We start from the raw sequence: 20,819 nt of genomic DNA, 5'->3' as shown, positions 1-20,819 counted from the left end.
AACTGAGACCCTGGCAGGTCACCCTGGGCTCTTCTGGGGACTGGGGCTGCCTATGCCCCATCAGTCCTCTAAGAGTCCCGGGTGGGACAGGGATTTCCCTGTGGGCCAGGGTTCCAGGATGCTCCCTCATCACTGCTACAGCTGGATGTGGGCTCCACAACTAGAGCACCGCTTCTCTGGGCTTCAGAGGCTTTTCCTACCTTAACAGTAAGCAAAGGGGCTTAGAGGGGAGCCTGCCTTGCGCCAGACAGCCAAACGGGGGTGAGCTGACAGCCCACTCAGAGCTGACCTGGCGATCAGGGAGTGTAAGGGGGCTGCAAGGGGATCAGATGGGGCTATCATAGGCTCCCTAGGGACTCATCCTGCTTCTCTGCCTCCAGGCCCAGCACCCAGCCCCAGAGGATCATCAGAGACTGACCCGGACACTCCGGGACACTGCTGCACCCATCACATCCGGCTGCTGCTGCTCGCATGGCTTCGGGGTATAGAAGGACTCATAACTGGCCCCGTTCAGGGCTGTGGGTGAGACTGCAGTGCCTGCAGAACCCAAGGCCTCGGGAGACGCTGCAGAGCTCAGATGGGGGACAGTCCCTCCTTTCTTCCCTCTCTTGCAGCCCCACAGCCCCAAATCCCCCTCAGCCCCCTTCCTACCATGTACCACATCCGCATTCACTGCTGTGCAGGAATCCCCTTACTCCTTCCTCACAACACCCCAATGGAAGGGCAGCTGTTATCACCTCATCTTATGGATGACAAAACTGAGACACAGAGTGGACTAGAATTTTCCCACATTTCCTGGCGGGCAGAGCTGGGACTCGAACTGAGGTCAGGCTGCTCCCAGAGCTCACGCTAACCTCCAAAGGCATTCCTCCCCCAGGGATTTTCAATGAGGAGGGTGGAGGGGTGCCCCGGTCCTCAGCTGCAGGAGGAGGGCTTTTGTCTGGGCACAGACAATCCCAGACAGACTCTTCAGCTCCAAGACATGACGATGGGGGTACTGGGAGGCTCTCCTGCATCCAGCGTCCCCATTTTACAAATAAACAAACCGAGGCCCAGAAAAGGGAAGCCAGGCACCAGAGCCACACAGTCGAACAGGCCTGAGACCCAGTGCCCTCCCCTCCCCTGGGGGTGGGAGTTGGTCTTACTCCTGGGGGAGAGGGCAGGGACCCAGCAGTGGGGTTCAGTCTGGCCTCCCTGGCAGCCCAGGGGAGGGGAGGTGGTGGGAGGACTCCTCCCCGTTTCAGGCAATGGGGTTTTCTGTTCTTTGCTGTCTGCTTTAGGCGCCCGGCACAGAGCCAGTCCCCTGGTGTCCCTCTTGGGTCCTGTCCCTGTCCAGGGCCCACTTCACCCTGTCCCCAGTCTGGGCTCCAGGTTTGGGGGCTGGAGGTCCCTGTTGCCATGGAGACTTCCTGAGCCTCTATAGAGATTACGAGGGGGGCTTGTATGGAGGGGCTGAGAGAGAAAATGGTTGCCAGGGAAACAGGACTCCCTTGGGCCAAAGTCTTCCTGAAAAATCAGATTTTAGGAGATTTTAGAGACCACAGTGGGAAAGCCCCCTGCTGATAGGGGTGGAGGAATATTTTGCCTTCTCGGGCCCCCCGCTCTTCATCCCCACTCTTCCCCCCTCTTTATTTGGGGAGGGCCCAGCCTTGCGGTCAGGGGGGCTGTGGAAGGTTGTCCATCTGCCCCAGAGGCCCCAGAGGTTGTCTCCTCCAGCAACTCCATTTCATAGCTGGAAAGAGTGAGGTTCCCAGAGGGCCAGGGAGTGCCCAGGTCACACAGTGGGGCCTGGGGACAAGTGTCCATGCTACCAGGAGTGGCAGCTCAGCCCCTCCCATACTGGTTGCCCTGGTTTGCCTGAGAAAAGTCATAAACAGAACAAGTTCCTGGAGGCCACAGAAGCTGATGAGGGGCCCCTGGGGACTGGCTGCCAGCCACAGGCCTTTGTCCTGGGACTCCCTATTGCCTTCTGACAGCCAATGGCCCTGTTCACCCAACCTGGCCTGGCTCAGCCTTGAGGTCAGGGAGTTACTTCAGGCTCAGTTCCCTGTGGCCCTGGCTGAGGCAGGTGGTAGAGGCAGCGGGTGGGGCATGGAGAAAGCCCAAGGGATCTCAGAGTGACTGTCCTCTCTGAGCCTCAGTTTCCCCACCTGCAGAGTATGCTCCCCCTCCTCCCAGACCTTTGCACAGACTGTGCCTTCTGCCCAGATCCCGTTCCTCATCTGAGTAACTCTGCTCACGTTGAAGGGCCAAGACCTCATGCCATCTCCAAAGGGAAACGCGTCCTGAGACCCTCAGCCACTCTCTGGGGCAGGAGTTCTCTCTGGGATCATCTGGGCCACCCTCAGGGAGAAACTGAGGTCTCAAAGGCAGGCAGCCTGGTCACGTGCTCCTTCTGGTTCCTTCTAGCTTCCCACCCTCAGAGAACCGACCCCTCTGTTTGCTCAGGCCTGGGGTCCCAAATTTGGGCTGGGTCCCAAATTCATTCCGTCAACAAACAATGGCACTGCACACTGCAGGCCAGGTGCTGGGATGCAGGCAGAAAGAAACCCAGTGCCTTCCCCAGGCAATCACAAACAAGTCACAGAGTTCCATGAGGGCAGGGCTCTGGGCAGGAAGAAGGGCCCCCATGTGAGTGTGAGCATGGCTCCCAGAGGGCAGGCCACTCCCCGAAATTCTAGGTGAAAATCGGTGGCAGAAGCCCAGGAGAGGGAGCAGCGGGCTGAGTGAAGGCCATGTGCAAAGGCCCTGAGGTGGGAGTGAATGAAGGAGCTTCAGGCAGCAGGAGTGAGGCGAGTCAGAATGCGAGAGAGGGTGAGGGGCCAGGAGGGGCCAGGCCTGGCGGCTCCCATGGCAGGGGGAGGTGGGACACAGCATCTGTCCTTTCCTAGCCTGGACGCAGCATCTTTCTTGGCACCGCCGGGCACTCCAGCCTGGCCAAGCCCTGGCCTCCCCAGCATCGCCCTGTGACATTTACAAGGAGGCTTTTGCTCAAGAAAACATCTCATTCAGTTCTTTGAAAGCTGGCTGGTGTCCTAGCAACGGGCTCGTGCTGGGCCCAGCCGCACCAGCTCGCCCTGCCCCCCGAATGGCATCACTGTGGCCCAGCTTTGGTCCCATCTGAGGCGTAGCCTCACACCACAGGGAGCCAGGACACCCACATCTCCTGCCCTGGCCCTTGGGCCACTCCCCGAAATTCTAGGTGAAAATCATCCTCCCCAGAGAGGACCAGAGAGGACAGGAGGCAAAAATTCACTCTGGAAACAGCAATGCGGCACAGCAGGGCAGACAAGAAGGGGCACTGGCCGAGCGAGACCCATGTGCAGGCTTAGGAGCTCTCTGGCCTCACACCCCACAGGCTTCTCATGGGGAGGCAACAGTGTCTGAGAAGAAACTTTAGAGTCCAACTGCCCAGTTGGTGAACATGGCCTTGGGCAAGTCATTTTGAGGCTCCAAGCCTCAGTTTATTGCCCTGTAAAATGGGACAGCATTCCCTGCCCATCTGCAGCGACTCCCCAGCATCACAGCTTCTGCCCTCATTGACGTCTCCATCTCTGAGCCACCAAACCACCCCTCCCCTGGTGCCCGTGGTTCTATGAGGAGCCCCCGCCTCCTGCCCCAGGACTACCCACAACCACACCTCAGGGACCCCCGCTTCAATTCACCTCCACGCCTCTCCTGGCTCCTCCTCAGCCTTTAGACCTGCTTGACCTAACCCTTCCCCTCCCTCACAGCCAGTTGACTTCCACGCTGGCTGACTGCCACACTGGCTGATGTCTCCATGCCCTTCTCCCCTCCCCATCTTGTCTCTGCCATAATGGCCCCAGCCATGGTCAGTGAAACGGATGGTCTCTTCTCAGCCTTACCTCACCAGGCCCAGGGGCAGCCTCCAACCCCACTCCCTCCTCCCCGAGCCCTGACTGCTTGGCTTCCTCAACGATCAAAATGGGTTCATAACAGGGCCTACCTCATTGGCTTTGGTGAGAATTAGTTGAAACTGGTAAAGCAGGCAGAGTGGTATCTAGAACATTCTAAGGGCCCAATAAATGCTGCTACTTATGGGTTTGCTTTCTGCCCCTCCCTCCTTCACTTCCTCCCTGCTCTGCCCCCGGGCTCAGTCTCCGCTTCATCTGCCTGGCTCTCTCATGCAGCTGTCTCTTTTTTTATTTTAATTAATTAATTAATTAATTTTTTAGAGACAGAGTCTCACTCTGTCACCCAGGCTGGAGTGCAGTGCACTCATAGCTCACTGGGCTCCAGGGATCTTCCTGCCTCAGCCTCCCGAGTAGCTGGGATTACAGACTCCCGCCACCACACCTAGCTAATTTTTGTATTTTTAGTAGAGACGGGGTTTCACCATGTTGGCCAGGCTGGTCTCGAACTCCTCACCTTGTGATCCACCCTCCTCAGCCTCCCAAAGTGCTAAGATTATAAGTGTGAGCCACTGCACCCAGCCAACTTTTAAATTTTGTAAAGCCAGGGTCTCACTGTGTTGCCCAGACTGGTCTTGAACTCCTGGCTCAAGCAATCCTCCTGCCTTGGCCTCCCAAAGCATGAAATTACAGGTGTGAGCCACTGCACCCCGCCTCATGTGGCTGTTTCTCACTCCACCTGTCTCCCTAGCAATCTCATCCTCCCAGAGGTGGCACCATGGGTCCTGGCCCAGGTGGCCAGGTCTCTCTCTGTCTCCCCAGAGCCCAAACCCATTGACCCATCAACCACTTATCTTTTTTTTTGTAACAGGGTCTCACTCTGTTGCCCAGGCTGGAGTGCAGTGGCACGATCTCGGCTCACTGCAACCACTGCCTCCCGAGTTCAAGTGATTCTCCTGCTTCAGCCTCCCAAGTAGCTGGGATTACAGGCATGTGCCACCACGCTGGGCTAATTTTTGTATTTTTAGTAGAGACGGGGTTTTGCCATGCTGGCCAGGAAGATCTCAAACTCTCTGACCTCAAATGATCCATCTGCCTCAGCGTCCCAAAGTGCTGGGATTATAGGCGTGAGCCACTGTGCCCAGCCATCATCCACCTTTCTCCTGGGACTCCCACCTTACCATCTCCCCTGCTGAGCCTAGCACCCACCCCGTTCCTCATCTCAGTAAGCAGCACCACCCCCGCCTCAGTGCCCAGTTGGAAATCTTGGTGACCTCTTCGGCCCACACTCACTTGGTCACACAGAAAGTCCTGGCCTCTGCCCTGAGTTTCCTTGCCTTCGCCCCTTCTCTCCACCCTCCACTCTGCCCACTCTCGCCCTAGCCACGCCCCACTCAGCAGCCAGGAGAGGCCTTTAGAAATGCCAATCTGCTGATGAGCCCCTATGTGGTCCCTGCAGGGGTCCCCGTGGCCCTTTAACGCCCACATCTGTCTCCACCCTGCTCACCTCCAATGGAGGGTCTATCACCCACCTCTGCCAGTTCCTCCAGCTCGTCCTGCAGGCTTCGCACAGTCTGTTCTCTGCCCTGAAGGCTCCCCCTGCCCCACTGCCACCTCTAGTCACTCTGCTACTTCCCTTTCCCCTCTTGGCTTAGAGCTTGCCCCCTCCAGGAAGCCTGATGGCCCCAAGCTGGGTTGGGTTACCTCCTCGGCTCCCCACAGGCCTACGGTGCCCCCACCTCAGCACCGATGACACTACCTGTCTTTAGTGTTGCCATATAGAATACAGGATGCCCACTATGACTCAGAAACAGAAAACAAAAAACTGCATGTTCTCCCTTATAAGACGGAGCTAAACAATGGGTGCACACAGAACAGACACACAGAGGGGAATAACAGACACTGAGGACTCCACACAGCGAGAGGATGGAGGGGTGACGGATGAAATGCCACCTACTGGGTACAATGTACATTATTTAGGTGATGAATACACTAAAAGTCCATATTTCACACAATACGTCCTCGTAATACAACTATACTTGTACCCCTAGATCCATACAAAACCTTGAATTTCAGATAAACAATGGATGATTTAAGTATAAGTATGTCCCATGAAATATTCAGGACATACTTATACTTTAAAAATTGTTTATCTGCACTGGTCACAGTGGCTCAGGCCTGTAATCCTAGCACTTCGGGAGGCTGAGGCCGGTGGATCACCTGAGGTCAGGAGTTTGAGACCAGCCTGGTCAACATGGTAAAACTCTCTACTAAAAATACAAAAGTTAGCTGCGGGGTGGTGGTGGGCACCTGTAATCCCAGCTACTCGGGAGGCTGAGGCAGGAGAATTGTTTGAACCTGGGAGGCGGAGGTTGCTGTAAGTGGAGATTGTGCCACTGCACTCCAGCCTGGGCAACAGAGCAAGACTCTGTCTCTAAATAAATAAATAAATAAAAATAAACACATAAAAATAAACATTGTTTACCTGAAATTCAAACTTAACTGGGTGTCTTGTATTTTGATTTGCGACATCTGGCAATCCTATCTGTCTCCCCCACTCCACATGGGTCTCATAAACAGAGAACATAACGTGCTGCCCCGTTACAGCCTCAGTGCCTGCCCAAGGATCAGGCTTGAGAAATGAGCGTGGCCTGGGGTGAACACAGGGAAGGCAGGGCAACAGGGCCCCAGCCCAAGACCTTTCCAGAGCTGATCCCCGAGAGGCCACACACACAAACCCCATCTCAACCAAAAGGAAACTAACTCCGGTTTCACTCACCTTCCAGTCTGGGGGTAACTGGGCCCCGAATCCCAGAGCTGGAAACATCTTATCACTAATCAGAGAGAGAAGAGAAACACACTGTAAGACACCTGAGGACACCACCCGACCCTCTGCCCAGGGCTGGGCCCACTCTGCCTCATACACTTCCAAGGACAGAAAGGAGGAGCTCACCACCTCTAGAAAAAGCTGTTAGGATCATCTACCTAATGAGCCCAACCCACCTCTGGGGACCTGGTGAACATGTGGCCTGACCACATCTATACCTGTGGCAGACACGACAATGGTACTTCTAACCAATGGGCCTGGGCACAGCTTCTAGATCCTTCTCAAACTGAGACTTCAGCCAGCCACTAAACCAAGGTCAGGAGGTCAAGATGGAAGTAGAATGAATGTACTGGCTGTCTCTCAGCCTCCTGCTCATAGCTGGGGAAAACTCTACTAATATGAGAACCCTCCTGTGGCATTCAAGGTCCTGTGTCATCCAGTCCCAGAGCCTAGTCTTATCTCCTTCCACCCACGCCCCTTCACACCCCACTCCCCTAGCCCTGGCCACTGGCCACTTGCTATTCCCCAAACACATAGGGTACCTTCACATTCCAACTTCAATGCTGTTGTGCCCCCATCTGTAACATCTCTCCCTAATCTGTTTCCTCTAGCAAACTCCTACTCATCCTCTAAGGCCCAATCAAAATGGCCCCTTCGCTCTGTAGATTTCCCTGATACCCTAAAATGCCTCTCTTTTTGTGCTCCCATAGCTCCTGCTTCACATGTAAACTGGTCTCTCAGAACTCCGACGATTTCTTCCTTATCTTCCTCTTTAAGTGAGAACTCCCTGAGGACAGGGACCACATTTCATTTGTATGTGCACTCAACAGACATCTACTAAGGATCCCTTTGGCTGCCGTGGAGGGGACACACAGCTGGGGGCCAGGGCAGAAGCAGGGAGACTGATGAGGAAGCTAATGAAATGATCTGGGCACAAAGTGATGGTGGCTCAGCCAGGCATCTAGAGCTCACTGGGGCCATGCTAAGTCTTAATGCCCATTAGACAGCTCGGTGATGGGCTGAATGGGCAGCTGGACACCTGGGACTCCACCCAACCATGCTGATGATGACTTCCACCTCCCTTGCTCTGCATGTTGTACAGATCCCTGGCTGCCCCTCTCTAGGAGGCCAAGTCCACACAGGGCTCCTGAGCCTGCTGTCTTTCCTGCCAAATCTCTGGCACCTGCTTCTTCCTCCCCTGTTCCCAATGTGTCAGCCTCCTGGTCATTCCATCCTCTGACCTGGAGCTCCCAATCAGCACCATCTGTGACAGTGATGTCATATCCTGTTGGTAGCCACACCTGCCACACTTTCACACAGCTTCCCTTCACTGACTTTCCGTGGTACCCAGCCCGACCCAAAGGTCCCCAGGAAGCAAGGTCATGGGAGGAGGGTCCGTGCATGCTAGCTGCTCCTCAGAAGTTCCCAATAGAAGCGAGACCATTAGGGAACTAGGCGCCAGGCCCAGGAACCAGAATGGCTGGCCTCTGGTCCCATGATCTGCGGGACCTGGAACAAATTTTCCACTCCCACCCCAGGCCTCCCATTCCCCAGCTCTAAAAGGAGAGGATGCAGCAATAATGAATGAGTTTAATCTTCCATCATGATTCATTTTCTTACTGGCTACTTGGTGTACTGTGTAGAAAACGATCCCAGTTTGAATCTGCGCTTGGCAGGTTAGAGTTCAGCAATTGATTAGCAATGTCTGCCAAGGGTATGGGAATGGGTAATAACTGCACCTATGCCATTTGCTGTCCATTCCTAGATTTGATGATCTCTGGGTCCCTTCTAGCTTTGATACACTGAGCTTCCCAGGTTGGATGGAACCCTAGCTGACCTTCAGAGCCCCTCTCCAACCTTACCTGTCGTAGTCCTGAATGATCTGCCCAACAGCCCAGATGGCCGACAGATATTCGTTGGTGCCCATAGGGTTGATATAGTGCAAAGAGGAAGGGTCGAGGGGATTCCCGTTGGAGGCTGTAAAGTCTATTCCAACCTGCAGAGTGGAGAAAAAGGCCACCCAGTGGGGCCAGAGACCCCAGCACCCTATCCCACTCCCAGGGAATAGGAGAGGTAGATGGGACATGGGAAGCCCACTCATCTCCCAGCCCTCCCCACAATAAGATGGTCTGAAACCTAGAAATGCTCTGATTGTATCACTCCTCTGCTCTAATGCCATCTGTGGCTCTCTATTGCCCAAGCATAAAGTCCACTGCCTAGATGTGATGACATAAGAGACTAACGTACAGTCCCAGATTCCTTTTTCTCCTTACTATCCCTATCCACACATTCATCTGTTCCCATATGCAGGCATTTATTCATAAGCTTCGCTCTGCATGCAGAGCCAGGCTATCGTTTCTTCCCGTCTAACTTTGCTCCATCTTCCAGGCCCAACTCAGATGCCACTGCTCCACTGCAACCTTCCCAGATAACCTCACCCCCAACCCAAGCCATCTCCCCATTATCCCTCAGACCACCAAGGGGCCTGGGACCTGGGGTTGCCTGGTAGAGCAGTGCCCGTCTCCCCGATCAGCTGGGAGCTCACCGCAGCACGTACTCTGGAGAAGCCTGGCCCAGGGCTGGGAACAGCAGACAAGGCAGGTGCTTATTAACAGGGACTCGGGGCTGATGGGCAGGCAGGGACTAGGGCTCTACCTGCTCTCTCAGCCCCAGAGAATCCCAGCCCAATCCCTGGAGAAAGGGCACAGAGGGGTAGGCAAGAACAACCCCTGCCCAGCAGGGGAGGGTTAGAAGTAGGACCCCGGGGAAGATTTGGCTACATGGGAACTCAGTTGCTGTGGGGTAGGAGAGAAGGGGCCACCCATCCAAATCCTCACATGGCTAGAGGGTCACTCCCCCAGGTCAGGGGCAGCATGTCTTAGTCCTTGAGGGACCGCTGCAGGGACACAGCCTAGAGCCCGGCACAAAGGAGGCAGTCAGTGTGAGTTCGCTGAATGAACAAACTCGTGCAGGAGGAACAGGAGGGCCTGGCCTCTGTGCAGGGGAGGGGGCAGTGGTGGGCAGCAGGGTCAGAAGTCAGCAAGGCCAATCCTCTGACTCCATGGCATCCTGTGATGCCCTCCATTTCCCATTAGGATCTAGGGGTGGTGATGGGGAACGGTGAGACAACATGGGGAGGTGGGCAGAGCGTGGCACCCCAGCAGCTTCCTCCCTTCTGGGCCTGAGGCTCCCTTGGGGTGAGGAAGCAAAGCCAGGATGAGTGGCACAGAGTCTGTGGGGCAAAGACTCCAGGCCACAGGCAAGGTGGCAGTTCATTCTTCCAACGAGAAATGATGGAGCACCTGCTATGTGCCAGTTACTGTGTGATATGCTGGGGTTGGAGTGGAAGCAAAATAAACAAAGTGCCCACACTTAAAAGCACTCACATTCCAGTGGGTGCGACGATCAGGGAGAAGCGACAAATGCATATGAATCTCGGGGCGGCAAGTGCCCAGAAAATAGGAAAATAGTGAGGGCCAGGCCCAGTGACTCATGCCTGTAATCCTAGCACTTTGAGAGGCCAAGGTGGGCAGATCGCTTGAGCCCAGGAGTTTGAGACCAGCCTGGGCAACATAGCAAAACCCCATCTCTACAGAAAATGCAAAAATTAGCTGGGCATGATGGCATGCACCTGTAATCCCAGCTACTCAGGAAGCTGAGGTGGGAGGATCAACTGAGAGCTGAAGGTGGAGGCTGCAGTGATCTGAGATCGTGCCACTGCACTCTAGACCACGTGACAGAATGAGACGCTGTCTCAAAAAAAAAAAAGAAAAGAAAAGAAAAGAAAAGAAAGAAAATAGGAAGATATGACAGAGGAGCAGCAAGGCATTGAGGGAGGGAGGGCTCCCTGGAAGGTGACCTCCGTTACCTCCTCAGGCCTGAAAAATGGCAGGTAGGCAGCCATGCAAAGGTTCTGGGGAAGTGTTTCAGGCAGAGGGAACAACAAATGCAGAAGGAACAGCAAATGCAAAGTTCTAACATGAAGCAAAGCTTGGCATGTTGGGCAAACAGAGGAAGAGTGTGGTTAGAGCCCAGTGAGCAAGGAGGAAGGAGGCTGCAGATGAAGGAGGCAGGGATCGCTGAAGGCCTTGTGGCCAGTGAGGAGGAATTTGTTTTCCTCCACCCGCAGAAGGAGTGTAGCCACCAGACTGAAAGCTGTGCAGCTGTGCTCTGACCTGTAGTTAAGCCCCAACTCAGGCACACCCAGCAGGACCAGACAGCCCACTTATGCCCTCCTCACTAGGCCGCACACACTCTTTGCCCCAGGGAAGTCCTTCCTGAAGTCTACCCTAAGTCCCTCTGGCTGCACTAGTGGCCCAAGTCTTCAGGGAGGACCCTCACTGGGATGGGGGTGCAGAGGGAGCCAGCGGGGAGAGCCTTACGGTGAACATGAGCTGGCAGCCTCCCAGGATGTAGTCAAGGAAGGAGTAGTCTCGGTTTATCTGGAAGAAAGCGGATGAGTCAGTGGGTCCCCTTGACTTGGTCACACTCCCCATGGGGGAGTTGTTGCTCTATGTCCTGCAACCTCAGTAGGGACAAGGAGGTCAAAAAAAGCTGATGGGCCTGATCTAATTACAACAAAACCCAAATCTCTCTATAACAAAGCCTTCAGTGCAATGGTTCCTAATGGGTGGGGGACTCACAGAGACCCCCACACCCCACAGATACACAGACACATGCTGGTTCCAGGCAGGGTGCCAGGGCCCAGTGTCAGTTACCTGACACAGAGTGTCTCAATTTGTCACTGTTAGGTACTTACCTTCTCCTGGCCCTTATTAATCTACCTTTTTAACAAAGAGAAAGAGCAGGCCTCCAGCTCAAGGCCTTCCTCTAGAAGTTGTTTTGATGGTCTTTGTCTCTTTTTGGCAAAGAAGGCAGATCTTTTAATTTTGGTAGAGTTCTAATAATCTCTTTCTAAATAAATGTATTTAAGTTAAAAAAAAAAAAAAAGAGAAAAGAAACAGGCCAGGTATAGTGGCTCATTCCTGTAATCCTAGCAGTTTGGGAGGCCAAGGCAGGCAAATCACTTGAGGTCAGGAGTTCAAGACCAGCCTGGTCGACATAATGAAACCCCATCTCTACTAAAAACACAAAAATTAGCCAGGCGTAGTGGCATGCACCTGTAATCCCAGCTATTTGGGAGGCTGAGGCAGGAGAATCCCTTGAACCTGGAAGGCGGAGGTTGCAGTGAGCTGAGATCACGCCACTGCACTCCAGCCTGGGCAACACAGTGAGACTCTGTCTCAAAAACAAAAACAAAAAACAATAATACAGGGAAGAAAGACTGATTCAAAAAAATAAGTAAGGCAGGTGCCAGAAATTGTGAAAAGTGATGTGAATGATGGAAACTTCAGAAACAAGGACCATCCATCACAAGGCTGCAACCTGACATCTTGACCTTTAACGGAGTGCTTTTTTGTCGTGACACCACTGAATGTTCGTGTAAACCCTAGCCAGACGAGGCTCCAAATAAGGTGGGAGTCTGGGATCCACCTGCTGGTGGAGAGCAGCGGCCAGACTCCTGAGCTGTCAGGCCCTGAGCCCAGGTCTCTTGCTCTCCTGCCCCAGGCTGCCTTCCTTAATGTTCTGCCAGATCCAGCAGTTATTTGCCCACCAGGTCTTCTGGCCCCCACCCACAGCCTGGCCACTGCTGACATGAACTTCATTGCCTTTCTGGGCCTCAGTGGCCCCGGCTGTACCATGGGAGTCACAGTGACGCTGATGCCAGAGAGGACAGGGTGTCCCCACCCAATGTCCTCTGCCCCTTGCATGCCCACCGTGGGCGGCAGCAACTCGCAATGACAATTCTCCCACCAGGACAGGCCCTGGAAGGTCAGCTCGTGCCTTCCCTGGCCTCCACACAGGAATGTGAGAGAAGAGTAACCCTGGACATGCTCTGCCTCGTTAATATCTCCATTCCACAGATGAGGAGACTGAGGCCTGGTGAGGTGAAGCTCAGAAGGCCATAGGGCCAGGATGTGGCAGAGCCGGGATTTGAACACAGGCCTCGCTGGCTCCAGATCCAGTGCTCTGTCTGTCCCTTCTGTGTGGCCTGAAACCTGGCCCCTGGCTCGTGCTTGCCCACGCTGGTTCACCTTGCAGGATCGCAGGATGATGATGCCCGAGTTTTTATAGTTCTTCTTCTTCCTCTGCTTCTTGGGGTTGATGCACTCGAACTCCAGCTGGGCAACGCAAAAGAAAGAGACACTCACCTCGGGGCTTCTTTGGAAACAGATCCTCCTCCTTGGCCCTAGAATCCCTTCCACAGGCTTGACAATGGGGGCAGCATGCTTCCTCCAGGGAGCCTCCCAGGATGTCCACACCCAAAAATGGTAGCAGGATCAGCATCTGCCTCCCTCCTCCCCAGATAACGCACCCCCAAACTGTCCAGCTGAGGGCCCAACATCACGGAATGACTTAAATGGATAGCTCCTGACTGCTCACTATATGCTGGGCACTTCGCCTGCATCATCTCATTCAATCCCCACCCAAATCCTCTGCCCCCATTGACAGATGGAGAAACTGAGTCTTAGATTGAATGCCTTGCTCAAGGTCATGCAGCCAGAAGGGGGATCTCAGCCCCAGGCTGCCTGACCCAAGACCCGGTGCCCCTTCCCCCAGCCCTGCTGAGGTCTTGGGGTTACAGTACACGTGCCCATCTCACCGGGACGCTGTCTCGAGCCTCACACATCTGTGACACTGAGGTCTGGAACTCGCCGATGAAGTCATGGCCCCCGTCATTGTCATAGTCGTAGCACATGACCTGGGGTGGGTTCAGCACGGTCACCCCAGAGCTGTCCCCCAAGAGGTGCTCTCCAGCCCCTCTCAACTCCCCAAGCAAACCCTCTGTCTTCTGTTTGGGTAGTGCCTCTCCTCAGCATCTGCCTAGCTGGCCTGGATAGCTCCTGAACTGCCTCCTGCAGGAAGACTTCTGTGATTGCTGGGAAAAGGAGAAAGTGTGTCTGCCCCACTGATGGAGGCTGTACCCTCTAGTGCAGGCAACTCCACTCCTTATACACCTGGCAAATGGCTCCCCCTCCACCTCGGGTTGTGACCCACCCAGCTTATGGCCTGGGGCCCTCTCTAGACATATTTTTTTCTGAGATGAGCACAGAAATCACAGCTTTATATGCTGTCTGAGCTGCTATGGCCCTCCTAGGAGGAAGGCAGGGATTATTGTTCCCATCCCACTGATGGGTAAACTGAGGCCCTGAAAGAGATGTACCTGCCCAAAGTCTCACAGCAGCAGTAGCAGACCCAGTACTAGAACCTAAGATTCCTGGTATCCTACTTGGGAATCTCTGTCCTGACCTAGCTGTCTCCCCAGTCCCATCTGCTCTCAGACCCAGCCCCTGGGGACCAAGAGCTTTTATTTTTTATTTATTTGATTTTATTTTATAATTTTTTTTTTTTTTTGAGACGGTCTCTACTAAAGACCGTGAGAGGGTGGGTGAGAGGCCTCACGTGAGAGGCCAGGGTGGTCTCAATCTCCTGACATCGTGATCCACCCACCTTGGCCTCCCAAAGTGCTGGGATTACAGGCATGAGCCACCGCGCCCGGCCTATAACTTTTTTTTTTTTTTTTGAGACAGAATCTTGCTCTGTTACCCATGCTGGAGTGCAGTGGCTCAATCTGGGCTCTGCAACCTCCGCCTCCCACATTCAAGTGATTCTCCTGCCTCAGGCTCCTGAGTAGCTGGGACTACAGGCGTGCACCGCCATGCTCGGCTAATTTTTGTATTTTTAGTAGAGATGGGGTTTTCCCATGTTGGCCAGGCTGGTCTTGAACTCCTGACCTCCAGTGACCCACCTGCCTCAGCCTCCCAAAGTGCTGGGATTACAGGCATGAGACACTGCACTCAGCCAGAGGACTGAGAGCTTTTAGAGAGACTGGTAATCACTGTCCTCATCATGCCAAATTTGATAATTTCCAAGGTGTTTCCCTAGCTAGCAGCTCTGCAGCCCTCTGGGGAGGGCAAGAGAGTTTTAGAGAGGGGCTCAAAGGTGGGGGCCCTGCCCGGGTACTTCAGGGCATCAGATAGATCCAGGATGAGGACCCAGTCTCCAGTCCTCCCTCCTCCAAAGATGGGGGTTCGTTCCACTTGTATGAGAAAGAGCTTTCTACAAGGCATCCCCGGGAGCCTCAGGTAGACTGGGAGGCTGGAGCTGGCAAGGTGGGGAGCAGGGTCCCCAGAGCCCCCTCACCTGGATGGGCTTCTCCATGTCCCCATCACACAGGGACACCAAGGGCACTGTGAATGGCTTCCACACAGGGTCCAGTGTGTACTTGATCACCTGTGGGACAGAGAGGGATGCTGTGAGCTCAGGCCCTGGGCAGCAGTGCTCTGGGGTTGGGTCAGCCCAATGGGGACAGGGTGACAAAATGCAGACCCACAGCCACACTTCCAGAGACAGAAGTGAGCGTCCCTGTGGCTGGGAGGAAGCATATCCCTCAGGTGCCACTGTGGGTTTTCCTGCACACTGAGCGGCTGTGACCGCACCTCCCTTTTTCAGAGCTGTGGAGGGGCTGGACTGCAGGCCCACTGCTTAGAGATCCCTGGGCCCCCACGTACCCACCTCAGTCCTGTGGACCAGCATCCACTTGCCATCGTCTCCTGGCTTATAAAACTCCAGAAAGGGGTCTGACTTCCCAAAGAGGTCCTGGGAGAAGTGGGAGGATGCGGGTGAGAGAGGTACAGCCCTGCTAGGTTCAGGCAGATGGGGGTGTGGCCCTGCTGCCTCCCCAGCCGGGTGTCAGGATAGGAGCTGTGGGCAGAGCCAGCCTGGCCCCCTCCCCTCAGACTCTGCAAGGCTCAGCAAGAGGCCCAGGGCAGCTGCAGCCCCCTGGGATCAACCAGGTCCCCCAGCAGAAACCCCCCACCCTGAGGCTGTCAGAGCTTGTGCTCAGAGACCCTCCAAGACTCAGAGCCTGTGTGAGTCAGAACTCCGGCATTTTAGATGGGCCAGGACTTCAAGAGGGTGACTATTCCCAAGGTAGGGTGAGGCTCCCAGCAGGGTGTCATTTCAGTTTATTTTATTGGGAATGTGAAAAACTGAAACTATCCTGCACATGACATAAGGAATATCATGGCCTTTAAAAAATCATTTAAGGTTTAAAAAGTGCCACTTTTTGTATGTGACTCACTCTATCTATCTATCTATCTATCCATCCATCCATCCATCCATCCATCCATCCATCCATCCATCTATGGGGTCTCACTATATTGCCCAGGCTGGTCTCAAAATCCTGGCCTCAAGTGATCCTCCTGCTTCAGCTTCCCAAGTAGCTGGGATTACAGGTGTGAGCCGCTGCACCTGGCAACTGTTACTTTAAAGAGGTTATATTCAAGTTAGGGAGACAGAAAATAAGTAAAGAAGGTATGGGCCAGGCATGGTGGCTCAAGCCTGTAATCCCAGCACTTTGGGAGGCCGAGGTAGGCGGATCACAAGGTCAGGAGATCGAGACCATCCTGGCTATCATAGTGAAACCCCGTCTCTACTAAAAGTACAAAAAAAAAAAAAATTAGCTGGGCGTGGTGGCAGGCGCCTGTAGTCCCAGCTACTCGGGAGGCTGAGGCAGGAGAATGGCATGAACTCAGGAGGCGGAGCTTGCAGTGAGCTGAGATGACACCACTGTACTCCAGCCTGGGCAACAGAGCAGGACTCTGTCTCAAAAAAAAAAAAAAAAGAAAGAAAGTATGCTAGACAGTAATAGTGTTAAGGAGACGAGAAGGAGGGGGTGGGAAATTGAAGACCAATTTCAGGGAAGGCCTCGTTGAGGAGGTGATGTGGGAGCAAAGGCTTGATGGAGGTGAGAGGGTGCCGTGAGAAAATTCAAGGAAGAGAGCATCCCAGGCAGAGGGAACAGCAAGTGCAAAGCTCCTGAGGGAGGAGAGTGCCTCGTTTAATTCACGGACAAGGGGCTAGGTTTGGCTGAAGCAGAGTGAGGTGCGGGGAGGAGGGGTGAGGTCGGAGAGTCGGGGCACTGGGGACACATCAGGCAGGGCCCCATTGGGTAAGGACCTTGGAATGTACTTACACTAAGTGAGATGGGGATGCCCCAATGAGCAGGTTTCCAGGTGTGTTTTGAATACCCCTAAGGGATGGAACACTCACTACCTCAGAGGTGAAGGAGTCCTAATCTGGAGTGGCCAGGAGGGCCCCGTGCTGGACCAGTCCCTAGAATGTGATGGAGGTGGTGGCCCGAGGTCCCGGAATGAGGCCACACAGCCCTGGGGCTGGTGGGGGCTACTGTTCCCAATGGGAGCCCTTCCTCTGCCCGCCTTACCTTCTTGTCCAGCCTCCTGCCCGCCAGGCTTAGTGTGATGACGCGGTTGTCGGACAGCTCCTGGGCAGCGATCTGTAAGGCCGGGACATGAGGGGCTCCTCAGACTCCCCCAGCCTCCTGCCAGGCAGGATGGCACAGGGTGCCCCAGGAGCAATCCTCCAGGGCTAGGAGGGGGAAGGGAAGGGCAGTTCCAGGTGACCTTGGACAAATCTCTTGTCTTCCCCACACCTCAGTTTCCATCTTCTGGAAAATGCGGAAAATAACCCATCTGGAGATGAGGAGTCAGGAAGCGGATCTACGCAAATCCGCAGGGCCCATGGGGTGGTGGGCAGAGATGAAGCAAGGACCAGACACCGGGGGTGGTCTTGAGTCCCGGGGAGAGGTTCTGGCCCAGAGAGCAGCATGACCGGCCTTCTCCTGCCCCTGCGGCAGCCACAGAGAGCACAGCTTCCTCAGAACACCAAGGTGTCAGCATCACAGCCACTTCATTGTACAGCTAGGGAAACTGAGGCCCAGGGGAGAAACTGAGTCCCATCAGTTCACATTGGTCATCTGTCCTCCATGCATTCCCCATCAGCTATGGTTCCCTGACCCCAGCCCAGCCAGTGATGGCCTAGCTGGGCGACTTCGAGACTGCTGAGGCCCCCTGTAGGCCTCTCTCCCTCCCCTGCTGCCCACAGCAACACAAGTGGGCTGGGGCCTTTCGCTGGGGCCTCCTCTCCTCTCCTGCCTCTAGGATGGCCTCACCCAGCGCAAGGCATCTGGCCCTCTGGACCCACAGACAGAGGCCAGCCATGTTGCCCGTTCTCCCCTGCCGTCCTCCCACTGGGACTTGCTCAACAACCCTATAGGGTAGGTCCTATTATCACCCCCATTTCCCAGGGGACGGGATGGAGGCCTAGAGTGGAACTGCCAGAAATGCTGGGGTGATGGCATACCCGGGTGAGTGGGGTCTGTCTGAGATGGCTTCTAGGTGGAAGCTGCCTTGTGAAGGCATTCATTCATTCATTCATTCAGAGATGGGGTTTCACTCTCTTGCCCAGGCTGGAGGGCAGTAGCATGATCATAACCCACTGCAGCCTCAAACTCCTGGCCTTAAGGGATCCTCCTGCCTTAGCCTTCCAAGGAGTAGTGCTACAGGTGCAAGCCATGCACCTGGCCTGGGAAGGCATTTAGATGGGCCAGTTAGGAACCAAGAGGTTGGGGGAGGTTGTTTGGGAGGTGGTGATCCGTGGGGGCAGGAACAGAGTAAGAGCCTGAGGTATGTTCAGGATATGCTAAGAATTCAGTTTGCTTTGAACGCAGGGCATTTAAGTGAAGGAGATTAAAAAAACACCAAGGCAGGAGAGCCAGGCAGGGTCTGAGGGGTCCTTCACAGCCTTGAACCGAAGGGTTGGTCAGGCAGTGGGGAGCCATGTGAGGTTCCAGGACAGGGGAGTAACACACGGGAACACACAAAGGCATGGCTTCTCCCTCCAGCCTGGCCGGCTTCCCAGGCATCGCGTGGGCTCAGAAGCCAGCCAGACAACCAGGGGACGATCTCGCTAGCTCAGCTGCCCCAGGGAACTTCCTCTCTGGGTCTCAGGGGTGGCCCTGGCTTCTGGGAGTCTTTGAAGACCAAGGAGCTCATCCGGGCGAAGGGCCTGTGCATCTCCAGCGGAATTACTGCGCATCGCGGGAGTCGTTGCGCATTGCAGGAATCATTGCGCGTCGCAGCCACAAGCAGGGCACTGATGGGCAGGGCACTTCTGAACGACCCCCAGGGGAGGGCAGGCAGGGGCCAGTGCAGGGAGGGGGCTGCTGGCAGGGCTCTGGAGGCCTCCCCAGCTTGTCAGCCCCCACTGCATCATTTGTGGAGCCAGCAGCCGGTTGCTAAGAGACCTGTTGCTAAGTTGTAAGTTGGGCCTTTTTACTCCAAACAAAGCTGGTGATTATCTGCCAGGGAAGCGGCCCATTGATGGGGGAGGGTGTGGGGTGGGGATGGAGGGGGTGCGGAGAGCCGGGAGGGGACTGGTACCGTAATCAAGCCCTTCCCCGCAGGCTTGTCATTCAGCAGCAGCAGAGGCCTAGTGATCTTCTTGCTGGAGACGATCTAGGGGAGAGAGGAGAAAGGGCGCTCAGTGAGGAAGCGGGGGAAGCCCGGGAAGGAAAAATCCTCCACCGGCACCGGAAAAATCCTCTTGGCAGGGCTGCACCCCGCCCTGGCTGGCTGGTGACCCGCCTGAGCATCATCATCACCCTGGGAGGTGGACAGCAGCCAATCTGGGCAGTGAGGAGCCTGAGGCCCAGAGAGGGTAAGAGACCCGCCTGAGGTCTCCCGCTGCAGTTGGACTCCCACTGCCTGGTTTGCCCCTAGGAAAAGGCATTTTGGAGACAACTGTGGGAGGTTAGCCCCCTAACTCCCTCCTCCAGAGGCATTCCACAGACCCCACCTGCCTCAGGATATGATCTCTGATGGACAGAGTCAAGCTCAGATTCTATGTATTTTCCTTTTGAGACAGGTCTCGATCACGGCTCACTGCAGCCTCAACCTCCTGGGCTCAAGCGATCCTCCCACCTCAGCCTCCTGGGTAGCTGGGACTACAGGCATGCATCACCACGCCTGGCTTTTTTTTTTTTTTTTTTTTTTTTTTGGTAGAGACAAGGGCTCATTATGTTGCTCAGGCTGGTCTCGAACTCCAGGCTCAAGCGATCTTCCCGCCTTGGCCTCCCAAAGTGCTGGGATTACAGGCATGAGCTATAGAGCCCGGCCAATTCTTTCTATTTTTATTGGTTTCAATAGGTAATACACTTACACAGGGTGCAATAATCAAAACAACATAGAGAGGAAAAGTGGGCCACATTGCAAAGTCACCCTCCCACCTGTGTCTGCCCACTGCACTCAGGGGCCAGCATGGTTCGTGCTTCCTGGGTGCAGTGCGAGCGTCGTCCTGTGCAGCGGGGAGCACACATCAGTATGATCTAGTCCTGCTCCTGTGGGGCTAGTTCTTCTCCGCAGATCCACACACCTGCTCTGTGCCCTGGGGACTGTGCCACCTGGCTCTTTTGCCCTCTGGCTTTCAGAGGTTCAGCCAGTTGGGGGGATGGGCAGGAGACGGGAGAGCAGGTGGCGTGAGAGGTGGGGGCCCCCGTTTGATGGGAGCTTCTCCATTACTCTGTCTTCTGCCTCAGTTGCAGTCCAGAGGCCTCCCTCTATGGGCCACAGGTCTTACCAGGCCCTGGCAATGCCACTTCCTCACCCTGCCTTCCTTCCAGGTGAAGGTGGTCAGCTTTCCTCTGGGGCCAAGCCCTGGACTGGTTTCCCCATCCCTTGTCAGTTCCCTGCCCTGTCCACAAGCCCTTAAGCTCTCTTCTCAGTTATACCACAGGGTAGGGACCCTGACTACTGTACCCTGCTTCTTACGCAAAAAGTAGACATCACAACCATGGCAGTCCCTTGCTTTCTGCATGGTCACCATCTCCTGGAAGGCCCCGGGCATTTCAGTCTCCACTAGGACCCCTCAAAGCATTTTCCATTTCATTCCCTTATCAACCATGTAGGCTGGGCAGAGCAGTCATCATAATCCCCAAGGAAAATGTGGGGAAACTGAGGCCCAGAGGGGGATGGGAGCTTATCCAAGGGCATACAGCCATAAGGAATGATTGAGACTTGTGTCAGGGGCGCCTAGCCCCGCTTGCTCCCGGCCTCCAGGAGCTTACCAAGGACTGAGATGGATGGGGAAGTGTGGCCCAGAGAGGGAAAGGAAGTTTCTCAAGGTCACACAGTGAGTCTGCCACAAAGCGGGACTACTGTGGGTGTCTTGGTTGCTGGTCAGATGCTCCTACCCCCAGA

The 20,819-nt window shown here is 54.9% G+C and overlaps 1 protein-coding gene across 1 annotated transcript in view; it reads right to left on the bottom strand.

Annotated features, from left to right (window-relative positions):
* Positions 1-20,819, bottom strand: part of CPNE2 (copine 2) — a 55,787-nt gene that overhangs the window by 13,815 nt on the left and 21,153 nt on the right. The window contains exons 4-12 of the mRNA NM_152727.6: positions 19,005-19,079; positions 16,988-17,059; positions 15,277-15,360; positions 14,905-14,994; positions 13,364-13,462; positions 12,795-12,881; positions 11,082-11,141; positions 8,562-8,695; positions 6,652-6,706 (exon numbers count right to left, since the gene is read on the bottom strand). Coding sequence (NP_689940.3) covers positions 6,652-6,706; positions 8,562-8,695; positions 11,082-11,141; positions 12,795-12,881; positions 13,364-13,462; positions 14,905-14,994; positions 15,277-15,360; positions 16,988-17,059; positions 19,005-19,079 — 756 coding nt within the window. The remainder of the gene's footprint in view (positions 1-6,651; positions 6,707-8,561; positions 8,696-11,081; positions 11,142-12,794; positions 12,882-13,363; positions 13,463-14,904; positions 14,995-15,276; positions 15,361-16,987; positions 17,060-19,004; positions 19,080-20,819) is intronic.

This window comes from Homo sapiens, chromosome 16 (assembly GCF_000001405.40).
Source record: "Homo sapiens chromosome 16, GRCh38.p14 Primary Assembly".
Taxonomy (NCBI): Eukaryota; Metazoa; Chordata; class Mammalia; order Primates; family Hominidae; genus Homo; species Homo sapiens.
Note: the sequence above shows the minus strand (reverse complement) of the source record. Positions and strands in the feature narration are given on the sequence as shown.